Consider the following 14,710-nt stretch of genomic DNA (forward strand, 5'->3'; position numbering starts at 1 on the left):
CAAAGTCCTTGTCATCTTAATATCAACGTTATTATAATAGAATCCTGTCATTAATCTCACTGCCTGAAATAAGAACAAATAAAAGTGTCATAGCATCAGCCAGGGTCAGTGTTCTAGACAGGGTTAAAAAAACAAATGGAAGGCCCAGAGTCTAGGCAACATTTAGGGACCTAGGAGCTACCTGTCAGGCAGAAGGGAATTCAGTTTTCATGTTTGTAATAACATCCTCCTAATAGTGATAGGGAAGGGGAGCAATGGAGAGAAGCAGCTTAAACCTTTTATGGGAAAGGAGTTTTGGCTTTTTTAATCTGTGACAACTTTTATACAAAGTAGTTTTGTTATTATTATTTTGTGACCATGGCTTTAAAATATAGCATAGAATTTTAAAATTACCTCAGGGGGTTCAGCTTGAAATGAAGCCTAAATTTTTATGGATGAAATGTGGTCTCTTTCTTCCATTTAATGGAAACAAAACAAAAATCAAACCATGAATTCCAAGAGTTGACAGAGAACTGTTAAAAATATTTGAACCCACCTTCTAGGTCACACACAGGTGAGAACACTGGAACCTTTCATGTTATTTGGGAACTTCATAAAGCAATGTTTCGCACTGCCAGCAGCCAGTATGCGCCAGCCAGGCTAGAATCACAGTCTTAGGGCTGCAGCCAAAAGTAACGGGTTCCAGAGTTAAATCAAAGGGAAACAAAGAGATCCCCTCCCAGTTATTTTCTTTTCCTGTCCTCTGAGACTGCCTTTGCTTCTCTGTTAGAAGCAAATATAAGCCAGGCACAATGCACACATGCCTTTCCACACAGCACAAGGAAGGAGATCAGAATGCCTCTGAGGGACAAATGTATAATCAGGAGAAGAGAGTGTAAACCATCCATTTGGTATCTGCCTGCCATCTATATCACACATTCTCCTTTCCTGAGAACAATGTCTGCCTTCTTAGCGATTTGTTGTATAAAGCATACCTTCCACCCAAACACTGTCATGTGGACCTTATGCCAGAAAAATTGAGCAGTGGAAATGAATGCCTCCAAAAAGATTGCCTGTCTCGGTATTGACAATTTTCCCTTCATTCTTCCTTCTAAAATTGTGAATCAAAGTCAATACACATCAATTTTTGTTGAACATTTAGACGTTAGCTGTTCTAGAAATGCAAATAGTAAAGTGCAGACAAAACATAATGTCACCATACATTTTCATGTCTAACTGTACAAGGCTGCTTAATTCTAGCTCCCCCAGAGAAATGCAATGTATGCCTTTAATTTCTTTTTGTATTTTTTTTTTTTTTTGTAATTTAGAAACACTTTAAAAAAAACACAGGACTGTGCTTTGGAAAGTTTTGCCTTAAGCCCTTTATTTACTATGACACTTTGCCTACTGCTGTGACCAGGATCAGAACATGTGTTCATTACAAAACTCACCTCTACCACAGAATTCCTAACCACCTTTAGCCATACTTATCACTCCTTTAAGTAATAATATCATGCATTCTTTTTTCTCATAAATTCAACCATATGTTTTCTGCTTTCTAAACCACGGCTTTTAAATAGTCATCTTGGCTGGGCATGGTGGCTCAAGCCTGTAATCCCAGCACTTTGGGAGGCCAAGGCAGGGGGATTGCTTGAGGTCAGGAGTTTGAAATCAACCCGGCCAATATAGTGAGACCCTGTCTCTACAAAAAGAAAATAAATAAATAGTAAAATAGATACCTCAGTGATTTTTGTTTTCACTTTTTTTGTGTGTGGGGTGAATATTTTGTGGTCTGTCCCTCTTTAAGTAAAGGTTTTTAGAAAGATGTTTCCTTTCTTTTGAGTAACTTCTGATGTGGAGTAATGGGCCCCATTTACAGTAAATATAATCTTCTGTCAGCACATTAGAGAAAACACGAACAAACTCTTTTTCTGATACAAAGCAAGTAAAAAATGCTTAATGATAATTACAGTGACATACTCTTAGTTACAATGAAAATAGATAAATCAACTCTATTTTCAGGTAGGTTTTCTATAAAATAAATAGCATTTTACTCAGGAATTCTTTTTATTTTTCTTTTATTGTACAAGACAAAAGTTTTGACTAATAATTAAATTTTAAAATATCTTAAGATGTTTTTGTCTTGTATCTGAAAGAACAGTAAAAACGAATTTTAAATGCAAATGTATATACAAAATTATGTATTTTAAATGAAAAATGATAAATGGTCTGATTTTATTACCCTTGAAACCAAATGTATCACTTGAAAGCAGTTGAGAAATATTCGACCAAATTAAATGGGCTGCTATACTTTGAGCTGGTGTTAATTTTACCTCATTTATATTAATGTAAAGTAAATTATCAAAGTAGAAGTGAAAGCGTAGCAGCATTTGTTAGTAAATTCCACTTAATTCTCTGGCAGTGTTATAGACATATTATTAATTACACTGTGTGCTAGACGCAGCACTAAATCACTTATTGAAAAATCTTCTCCTTAATGTAGCCCTTAATTTTGACCACCATCAAAAGAATGCTTCATCTCAAAAAGCTATCAAAATATTGATCTGAAACTCTAAGTCTAATTGGCTATTTCACAATTATATTGTCAAGAAAAAAAATGGTTGGCAACGTTTGTCATTTCTGGACAATTATTCTCATAAGAACAAAGAATATAAAGCTGCAGATCAATTACCTGTTGGAGGTCCTGAGTTTTGAGTGATTACCTGTTTTATCAACAATTTATTTTCCTCTCAGTAACGGTGTAAAGTTAATTCTTATGCCATACACATGTGATTGTAATTGATACAGAACTTATGATGTTAATCATAAATCAATTTTTATACTCACCCTCTAAAATACATAGTAAAGTAGAAAACATCATTTGTAATATATCTTCACTTATATTACAAGTGTAATATACATTGCCATGTGTATTAAGTGTAGGCACACTGCCATGTTTTATTATCAAATTTGGTGTATTAAAATAAGCTGTGATTTGGGAAAGCCACTATGCTTTTGTTTTTTCTGTCATTCTATAAAGGCAGAAGTTTTGTTTTAAAATAAATTCATAGTTTTTTTGAAAGTTCAAATTAACTTAATTAAAATGAACACTTAATTATAAGTGTTCAGTTTCAAATAAATATTAAGACTTTTCCTTATATATAATTTTCTTATAAAGAAATAGAGATTACGTCTGAACAGAGTAGTACCTGAGATGAAAAAACCAAGCCAAAGTACTTATATGGCAAATTTATAAATTCAACCAATTTAGATTAGCTGATAAAGGCACAGGTAGGATAAGGTATATAGAGCACATAATTGAATTATTGGAGCTAGGTGATCAATTTCTAGCCTTGGGCTAAGAGGGGTCTATCTTCAGCTGATGGGGAGAGATTTGTGAAGAGCATTTTGCTTTCTTTTCTCATGTGTATACTGGGATTTACTGCCCTTGGGGCACATCACTACTCCCCTTTCCCTCAGCGCATTAACATGTAAGTTTATCACCTCACAAATAACTTGCTTCTCTGAGTATATTGGGAGACAGAATAATGCAACCTTTTTCCACTGCCTGTGAATTTTCTAATTGGAGAAGTAATTTCCTGCTCCTGGTTCTTCACTTGTATAACAAAAATCTGAGAGTAATGTTTATCTTGGGCATGTCCTCTTAACGAGTGCAAGGACAATCCCTTAGCCAAGATTTACTTGACTCAGAAAAGGTCTTGAGACAATTGCTGATTCTCTGGTTTGCTGTTTGGGAGGATGTTACACATAGGTTTGGCTACCTAATACATATGGGAGAGAAATATATTCCTATTTGGTTTCAGATATATAGTTACAGTAAATATAATCTTCTGTTAGCATGTGAGAAAAAAATGAACAAACCCTATTTTTCTGAAATAAAGCAAGTAAAAAAATGCTTAATGATAAATACAGTGATATCGTCTTACTTACAATGGAAATGGTGTGAATCGGTGAGTCAACTTTTTATTTCCAGGTAGATTTTCTAGAAAATAAATGGCATCTTCGTCAGGACTTCTTTTTTTTTTTTTTCCTTTTATGATATGTATCTTGAACCAAGCAGGAATTTATTTCTGTCTCATGAAAATGAAATCTGATGTTCGTGATCCTGGGTATCTATGGGAACCCCATGATATCATCATGCACCTTGGTGCCCTCCAGCTCACTTCCAAGCCACCATGGGAGTACCGCCCTTACCGACATAGTTCAGAATGGCTGCTCCAGCTCCAGCTTCTACACCTGCACTCCAGGAAGCAGGAGAAAGGAAAAGGTGGAGAAATGTGTAAGTTCCTCTCTTTCAGATATCTTAGAAGTCCCACAGGACAGCTCTTATTGTTTCCCGTTGTCCAGAACTGAGTCTCATGGCCATATCTAGCTGAAAGATGGGCTAGGAAATGTAGTTTTAAAATGGTATGGTAATGCACTGAGCAAAACATTTAAGTTCTCGGCAGGGGTGGTGGGGTGGAAATAAATAAAGACAAAAAGTTCACTGTGCCACAATACCCATTTTTCCTGTATTTTTTTAAATCCCAACAGGATGGGAAAAAGAAAATAGGTGAGACTGAAATTTAACATTGCTTCCTAGACAGCACATTAGAACTTAATGTTTGCCACTAAATAGCTATGTGGTTATAAGGCATGTATCAGTCAGACAGTTTATTCCTTCCTAGGTACTACTTGCTTTGCAAATCAGGAATTGAGACTGAAAGCTCCTTGAGGACAGGGACTGGACCATGCTGACTTCAATTCTCAGTGCTTACCCATTATAAATGCAAACAATCCATACTGAAATTAAATGAGTAAATGAAATAGTTAAGATAATTTCAGATCCAAATAATGGAAAGTAAAAATATCATACTTACTAAATACATACATGGACATTAGAGAACTAAGATTGAGATGTAACATACCATTTAGTAACTAGGGATGTTATGCAAGTCCTTTGAATTCTCTAAGTCTGAATGTCCTTCTTTCTAGAATGGAGGTAATAAGCCAATCTATGGCAACATGGAATTGTGCAATTTATCCAATTGTACTTAATGGTTCCAAACTTAGTGAATTGCCTCACCATTCTTCTAGTTGCCTTGGTCAGGAACCTAGGTGCCATGATTGCCTGCTTTTTCTTTGTTCAACTCTCCCACATGTAATGAATTATTAAATCCTCTGGAGTCTTATCTTCTATTTCCTGACTGTGTCCAAATAGTTTCACCCATGTTGCTACTACCCCAATCTGAGACACCATCATATCATCATACCTGACTTGAATTACAGCAAGAGCTTGTTCACTGCTCTTATTTCCTGCAGTCTTGTTTCTCCCCAGCACATTTTCCATGTAGCAGTCAGAGTGATCTTTCTGAAACATAAACATAGTAATGACAGTACTCTAAATAAAGTAAGTTCCCTTAGGATCAAGTTTAAATACCCTAGGATGATCATGAACCCCTTTATTACCTGGCCTTGTGTAGCTTCTACTTTTGCTACTGTTCTTTCCTGCCTCACACCCTCTTGTCCATTCATAACTAACTTCTTATAAGCTTTTCAACATGTAATGCTCTTCTTAAAGACTTTGCATATACTGTTTTTCTTATTTGAAACAACATACCTTCTCTTTCTACCTCTCCCAACTTTTTCTCTATCTGGCAAACTCCTCTTCTTCATTCACTTATTTACTAATGATTTCCCTTAAGAAACTCTTTCTGAATTTCACCTCACTCCCAGACTCAGTGACGCACCCCTGTCTTCTGTTCCTGTCATACCATGTGCTTTCCTTATTGTGAATTTTATTAGTCTATTTTTTAGTTAGTTGATTAATACAACAGTCGGAACTGACTGTTAATTCCATTGATACAATAATCATGTCTATCTTCTGCATTTATCATAGCACCTGCCTGACACATAGTTTGAAATTCCATGAAGAGTATGAATTTCAGTTACTATATATGAAACATAGGCACTAAAGGACAGCAAGAGTAAAATATATAAAGATCTTTACAATTATAATGAGAAGGTTTATATTAAACCTTACTTCTTTTAGTTTATTTATAAATATTTTTCTCTGAACTGAACTCCTTTGCTCTGAACTGAGATCTCTGTCGCTTAAGCTTTAATGCCCAGATATCACAAGTCTTGGATCTTTTCCTACTTTTAAAAATCTATAGATATGTGGTATGTTCTGGTCACTTGGAGCTTGCAGAACAGAACCGAAAAGCTTACCTCTTAGCCTTCTATTTATAAAGAAAAGGCTTATCTCTGGAGAACTCTATCAATGCAACTCACAATTGTTGCTGAAGCTTCTAACCATTTGTCTCCAGAGAGTACACTGACTTTCTTGATATGTGGATTTCTATGAATTATGTGACTCACTTCTGAAATGCCCTTTTAGTTTTCTCATTTGCTCTTCCTTTCATGGGAAATAAAGGAGAAAATGTGCCAGACGGTGATCAATGAAGTTTTTATCATGTCTGATGATAATATCTATCCAATAAAAAATGATTTTTGTGGCAACTAAACTTAATATAATTTTACTCTACCTGATATTTCTGTCTTCAATCACTATATTATTTAGATAGAAATAACCTCCCAGGGATGAGCCTTCTAGCAGTTTTTGTTTATAACTTGACCTTCTGTTAAAGAGTTTTTTAAAAAATAAATCCTTTTCTCCTTAAACATTTTAAAGATATTTTAAACAAATTTAAATATTAGTTTCTTGAGTGTAGTTATGTGTTATTTATTACACAAGAACTGAACTTTCTTAGACAGGGTCATCTTCCCATGGAAAGAGCTTCAGATAATTGAGGATGAAAATAATTCTAAGAAAGAGAGCACAGATTTTTAAAATTTACAACTCAGATGAAAGTATATAACAGAAAGTACAAATGTATAGAAATACAGTCACCTAGATATAGCAGGGGAAACATCAACATTTATAAAAAATGTGAAAATGTTGTCATATTCAAAAAGACATCTATATTTAACCTGAGTAGTGTTTGAAATACATGGAGCCAAAAAGATGAATTTCTATTTTTTTCCCCTTAACTTTATCTTTTCTCTTCTACTCTGAAGTGGATGTGTCTCTTGAGAAAACTCTTTTTTGCTCTTATTTTTTCCCTTTTATTTTGTTCTTTTATTACTTTGAATATCATATGTGTAACTTGATATAAATATTTGCATATAAGACATTTAAGTGTAAATATCTTAAATATAATAGTTATATCCAGGCATGACAGTTTAAACATGATGACCAAGGTGTAAATGTGTTTTTTCCATCTCTCATACACACACACACACACACACACACACACACACACAGGCACAAACACATAAATACACAGTTAGGCACATAGATAATATTCATTCCTATAGTAGGATATAGGAATTTATAAACATGAAAAATATAAACTTCATACATTCATAGATATACATATAATAGTTTCCTACTAGAAAACTATCAGTGTCTAATATGTTTTAAAATATTTGTGTGAAAAATTTGTAACAAAATGGGGAACTGAGAAGACTTATCTCCCATTTATATAACTCCTCACCTAAAACCTAATAAAAAGTCTTTCAATATAATTAAAACATAATGGAGTTGACTATAAGAAAAAATATCCACTGATGAGCTAGAAATGATAAGAAATTCTGAGAGCTAGAAATCAGATGCAGTCTGATTGACATATGGGCTCAGAAGACTGGTAGAGCAGTGGAAGCTATCTAGGATCACAGGTAATGAAGAAAATGAGTAGAAATGGCCAATTAGGCAAATATTTGACAACTGACAGAGCATCCATGGTCAGAGCTATTGGATTGGTCTTCCCTTTTTCTGTGCTAGTGGAGCAGTGGAGTGGACAACAATATTAGCTATCACAGGCTGGATATGACAGTGAGGAAATCTTGACATTGAGCATTTCCCTAGGGAGCTACTGAACCTCCCCCTCCCCCCGCCCCCCAGGATACGACAAAAGACCAAAGCTAAGGAGAAAACAATGGCACAAACAACCAAATACTTTTCCAGAAAAATAAACAAAGGCTAGATCCTGTCCTCAGAAACTACATCCACAGAGAATAATATAGGAGTTCTAAAAATATGAGACTTTCAGCTCCCAAAACAAGAACAACCAAATTTTTAGGCAAAAAGTCTAAAAAATTACTGCAAAAGAAAGACACCAAGTTAAACTAGCAAAGAAATTCCTGGTTGAGGGGACAATTAACAGAACATATAAACCTATATGCTAAAAGCAAGAGAACCAATCATAAATCTTATAAATTAAAATTTTCACTGCAATATTTTTGAAAATTGTATGCTATTCAATAGCATAATAGAAAAAGTAGAAGGGTGAAATAGAAACCCAAAACACTAAGAGAAGGGATTTTTCCAAAACATGGAAAAAAAAGCAAAGGGATAGAGAATGCGAGAAGGAAAATGTCAGCAGACATTTAACATTAATTAGTTAGCAATACAGAGTCTACCTAATAGAGATTCCAGAAAGAGAAAGCAAACAAATGAAATAAATAAAATAAAATAGGAAAAAAATCATGGTCAAATAAAGCGACGAAATTGGCAGGCTTATTATAAAATTCATTTGGAAATACAGGACCCAGAGAAATCTTTAAAAAGAAGAGCAAAGTTTGTGTGTTCACATGTCCTGATTTCAAAACTTATTGCAAAGCTACACTAATCAAGACAGTGTGGTACTGGCATATGGTTAGCCATATAGATCGATAGAATAAAATTGAAATTCCAGAAATAAACCCTAACATTTATAATCACTGATTTTTCAACTAGACTGCCAAGACAATTCAAAGGGAGAAAAAGTCTTTTCAGTAAGTGATATTGGGTATCTACATGCAAAAGAATGACTTTCTACTCCTACCTCACATCACACACAAAAATTAATTCAATGTGGATTATAAACCTGAAAGTAAGATTTAAAACTATAGGACTGGCAAAACCACAACAAAAATCAATCAGCCAAATGTAAAAATGAGGAAAGGACTTGAATAAATATTTCTCCAAACAAGAAACTAATGATCAACAAGCACATGAAAGTCAAAACCATGATGAAATGTCACTTCATACTCACTAGGCCATCATTTAAAACAAAAAATAACAAGTATTGGCAAGGATGTGCAGAAATTGGAACCCTCAGGCACTGCTAGTGGGAATGTAAAAATGGTACAGCCACTATGAGAAACAGTTTGACTTTCTCAGAAAGTTAAACATAACATTGCCACATGATCCAGTAATTCCACTACTAGATATACTCCAAACTCTAAATTTTTAATGAAAAAGATGGATATATCCCTATGTGGTTAATATACAATTAGTAACTTTTTTCTCATTTGCTGTTAACTGTATTCCTAACATATTTCTGCATATGAAAATAATATAAAATTGAGGATAACATGGAATACAAATTATGATAGCAATTGAGAATTCAGCAAATGTGAAGGAAGCTAGAAGTTAACTAGAGGAATATCCAATGGACTTGAATGCATGATAAGAATACCCTTGGCAAAATTGAAATAGCACAGAATTATTCTACCTTCTACATAACTTAAAGCAAAATGCATAATACTTACATATAACACTATAAATGTATCATATTCATTCTCTTTTTTTTCTCTTTTTTGAGACAGCATTTCGCTCTTTCACCCAGGCTGAAGTGAAGGGGCATGATCTAGGCTAACTGCAACCTCCGCCCCATGGGTTCAAACGATTCTCCTGCCTCAGCCTCCCAAGTAGCTGGGATTACAGAAGCCCACCACGCCGGCTAATTTTTGTATTTTTAGCAGAGGAGGGGTTTTTGCCATGTTGGCCAAGCTGGTCTCGAACTCCTGACCTCAGGTGATCCACCTGCCTTGGCCTCCTGAAGTGGTAGGATTACAGGCATGAGCCACCGCACCTGGCCCATATTCGTTTTCAACTTAAAAAAAAAAAAAAAGAAAAACAGAAAAAAAACATGTTAAAAAAAGTATGCAATGTTCATATCATTTACAAGCAGAATTTAATGTAAGAAGACTTGATCTTAAAAGTGATAATGAAATTTTCAAAAAGTGCACATAGTATACAGAGGAGAAATTCGAGTGGATAGTATTTTAATTCTCTCATATTTCATAGCAAGAAAGTCCATAAATACTGTCAATAAATCAAGCATTAGCATATGGCTTAATATAAAGCAAGCCAATAGAAGAAAATAAAAGTCAGAAGTTGAAGAATGAGGGAAATACAGGAAGTCGTGTAAGTTAATTTTTTAATTATTTCCAAAGGAGAGGTAATGTATATTTTCTAGGGCAGATAAATCAAGAAATAGAGGCATATATAGACACTATACAAAGCAAATAATGGTAAGCACAAAGAACTAAAGAGAAGCTGTTGTATTAACATTTGCCTCAAGGGAATAGATGTGAGCCATAGAAAGATTACTATTTTTCATTTTCTTTTGTTTTCTTGAAAAATGTTTTCCATGTACATTTTATAGAATTTGCAAAAACCAATGAAGTACATATTTTGGAGAAAGAAAAATTCCAGCTCTGCTTTGCATGACTAGAGTCCAATTACTGGAATGCCATCCATTTTGCCATATATAGGTAGCAAAGTAAATGAAAGCACATGGAGGTTATACCTAGGTAGCCAACTTTTTCCATAATTGCCCACAGCTCATTATTCAGTAACATTACTTGTGATGCTCATGAATATTCTGCAATAGGCTTTATTTTAATCTTTTTCCTGTGTACATCATATTTCTATATTTTTTAAAAAATCACATGGTAATTCAGGGAGACATGGTTGAAAATATTTTACGATATATTTTCTTGACCTCATGCACTTTAAGTCACATCTTTTGTTTGAAGAGGAACTTTGTGGCCTTTCTATCCCTTCCTTTCTGTGGACTACTGAGGCTTATTCCTGATTTTTTATGTATTTGGTTCTACAAGAAAACTGAAAAGCAAAACAGAAATTCACAGACTTCTGGAAGTCTCGGAAGTCCAGCATCCAAATGTAATAGTTAGAAAAAAAAAAAAAAAGGGTGCTCAGACTTTCAGACTTACAAAAAACAAGAGGCAGACAAAAATATACATAAAAAGATTGCTAAGAACAAGCATGCCAAAAAAGAAAAAATAGGTTAGCAGAGTTAGATACTGCTATCTTCACAGATAAAAGTAAAGCCAAGAGGGGTTCAATTAGACAGAAAATTTAATGCAAGTACTGATATAAAGTGATTAAACAATGGGCCAAAAATGAGCCTAACTTATAAAGTAACATAGAGAATTAAAGAAGGAAAATAAGCCCAAAGGAGCAATAAATATTAACATAGACATGAGGACTAAAATTCACAAATGGAAGTTAATACTATTATGAAGGGTAAACAATTGTGTGTATTTGGGGGCAAGGAGCCAATAGTTATGAAAAGATTTATGTCCTCATGCCAAGGGCTGGTTTGGGTAGAATTCTGACAAAGGGTACTAATGCAAGTCAAGGAATTATTGGTAACATTAAACACAATCCAATATTGTTTATCCAATCTACATCCTACATACATTAATGGTTTTAATTCCACATGTACAATCTTAATCTTGACTGTGAAAAGATTAAATTTCTTAAAATGAAAATTTCTTAATCATAATATTCCATGTAATTCCTTTATATTTAAAATATGTTTAGGATGTATATTATAGGTCATTATACATAATATGTATTATAGATACATGTATATATAATATGTAATAGTATATATTATATGTAATATATATAAGACTACAGAACACTAAAGAGTTTAAATATTTAAGCATTACTGAACAATGTAGAAAATATCCTATTTTTAAGTATTTCTGCCTCCAGAGTTAGTACAATCAGTTCTTTGAATTTGTGGTCCAAGAGTGAAATTGAGCTCTTTGATAATTAATTCTCTGACAGTTTATACTGAAAGAGAAAGATCATAATGATGAAGACTAATATAAATGTTGACATTTAACAAAATGTTGTAAAAGAAAATTTTATTGTACTACAGTGACTACTTACCAATTGATTTCTTAATAACCCAAAAGAATAAATGGACCTAGCAAAAGTCCCTAAATTACTCTTAGAGAATAGCTTCCATGGGTATATCTTGCTTTTAAGGAGGATTTGAAACTGTTCTACTGCTATTTTTGGCTTCCCATGGATCATGAAAAATAATGAATTCAAGTTTCTCAAGCCCTTTATCCTTGGGTCAAAGGAAATTGAACAGGCTTGTGAGGTTACTATCACTTGTTCATTGTTGAGATTAAAATATATTCAGAATATGAACGAAGTTTAGCTCAGATAATGGAAAAAATAAGTATATCTATAGAGTTTGTAATTTTAAAAATATTTTAAAATCATATAAATTTGCAACATTTTATTTCAATATGTTACTTTTACATTTAACATGTAAATCTAATTGCACAGCATTTTATTTTTATGTTTATAAATGTAATAATGTCAGATTGATTGCTTAGGTGTGTTGACCTATGAAATTCTCTTGGCATATAACGGGATTCATTAACGATAATCTTTAAGTCTGTAATAAATAATCAGTTTCTGGAGTTATTTTTTAAAGACACACTGATAAAGCCTAAAAGATAATTATTTTGCATGTATCTTGCCCTGGAACAAGATGTACAATTAAAATGACCACCAAACAGCAATAACATCTTTATGAAGATGGTTTGATAAGAAATTTAGGTCAAGGATGCTAGCTAAAAGACTATTTCATTTGCTTTAACAGGCATCCTTTCAGACATTCCTTGCTACAAAAAGACAATAGATTAAAGAGAAAGAAGGGAACAGAGATTCTTTGTAAATATTGGCACTTAACTCTGTGAAGCAGATGACTACTGACCCTCAGTACTCTGTAATTTCTTTGTTCAACATTCTGCCTCTTATACCCCTGTCAGGTTGTAAAATCAAAAGGTTCTCCAGGGTTGCTCTGAACATAAGTGTCCATGCTCTTTTGTACATACTGAATACTGTGTCAGTATTTTTTTTTATAACATATCAATTTTTAGTGTGTCCTTTTTCCTGTTTACAAAAAGTGCTGCAATATAGGTTGGGGGCTGGATATCTGTGCTATCATTTTCAAACTTTGTGAAATATTAAGAGCCCTATTTTATTATCCTAATTTTTTAGTATGCCATATTCAAGACAGATGTGGCATTTTAAAATATGTCTTTAAGGAAACCAACACATTTAATGTTTTGGGAGGTTGAGTGTTACGGCATTATCCAAAATCATTTTTAAAATAATCATGTACTTGTCATATGATTTTGTTTCTTCGGGATGACCTAAGGATTGGAGAAATTTATTCCTCTCATTTGTGCTTGGTACTGATGCTTGGTTTCAGATGTTATAAAATCAGTGTTGAATGTGAGTAAGTTATTCATAATACAGCTTCTAATGAGGTGTAGACATGACTTGAATAATAAATATCCCAGTCTTTTAATAAGGCTCATCTTATGCTCATAATAAAACCCTACACTGTTTCCATAATCCAGTGGAATTTCACCAAAGTTAAATTAAGACACACAAAAGCACATTCTTAAAGTACGATTTATAATCCTTAGGAAATGACTGTAATTGATTTACAACAAACCAGCTGTACTGAGAACTCAGCAGCCCCAGGTGACTGTAGCGGTTTTGCTTGAGTAAACCTGCGCACACAACAGGCTAGTCTGGAATTTTTTGTCAGATTGTAAAATCCAAAGATAAAACACATGGTTAATGGAGAACGTTTAGCCAAAACTACTGGAGAATATTTTTGCTTAGGTAAACACTTATTTAAATACATTTACAAAAATGTCATGCACATTTAAAAATCATAATGTATAGAAGCTACTTTATGTTTCTAAAAAGGAAGATTTTTTTAATGCCTTTTTCTTTTGTGGATTCTGCCTACTTCAAGCTTTCTTCTTTTTATAAAATTCTGGCATATGCAATGTACTGTATCTGAAAATGATAGAGTGTGCCTTTCTGGTACAGTCTTGTCAATTACATGTGCCTTGTTTCATTAACTGCAGCTAATTATTAGCCATAGTGTTCTAGGCTATGAATTTAAATTGAGTAAAATGAGTGGTCATTTTTTATGATTTCTTTCTAGTCATCTCAGATTCATCAGACTATTTTTATTACGTGTGAAAATATTAAAAGTATAATAATCCAAATCTTTCACTGCCTTATTCAGTAACCAAATAAGTGTTCATATTAAAGGTGACAGAGATAGATGGCATTAACTCTGTTTTTTTGCTTGACAGCTCTTGCCCACAACATATGTTCAGTGCTATCAGGGTTATTACAGAGAACACAAACTAATCAGGTGGACAGATTCACAAACAGTGTCTAGAACACATGGTGGCCTCCCAGTGTTAACAAGAAATGTCTGAATCGCTTGTAAACATCATCAAATAATGTGAAGATTTGTCATTTTGATTGCTGGTTCTTAAGACTGTGGTTAAAATAATCTTGTTGACTATGGACCTGCTAGATTGGAAGGTGAGATGCTGTGACCTGACCTTATTTGCTGTTGTGTCACGGAAAAGAGAAAAAATTATGGGCTCTGTAATAGTTCTGATATTGATTCAACAATCCATATGTTTTACCTTTAAAAATAATTTGGGATTAATGTTTGCTCTTGAGGCTGAATTTATTAAAAGGGATTAATATACAAAACCTTTTTGTTCAAAAGTTTATTAAGAGTTA

General features: G+C 33.5%; 1 long non-coding RNA gene across 1 annotated transcript in view; it reads right to left on the minus strand.

Moving 5' to 3' along the window:
- LOC124901056 (uncharacterized) overlaps positions 1 to 14,710 on the minus strand; it is an 891,204-nt gene that overhangs the window by 320,911 nt on the left and 555,583 nt on the right. The window contains exons 4-6 of the long non-coding RNA XR_007058919.1: positions 5,253 to 5,350; positions 4,195 to 4,236; positions 3,931 to 3,982 (exon numbers count right to left, since the gene is read on the minus strand). This is a non-coding gene — a long non-coding RNA (uncharacterized LOC124901056). The remainder of the gene's footprint in view (positions 1 to 3,930; positions 3,983 to 4,194; positions 4,237 to 5,252; positions 5,351 to 14,710) is intronic.

This window comes from Homo sapiens, chromosome 5 (genome assembly GCF_000001405.40).
Source record: "Homo sapiens chromosome 5, GRCh38.p14 Primary Assembly".
Classification (NCBI taxonomy): domain Eukaryota; kingdom Metazoa; phylum Chordata; class Mammalia; order Primates; family Hominidae; genus Homo; species Homo sapiens.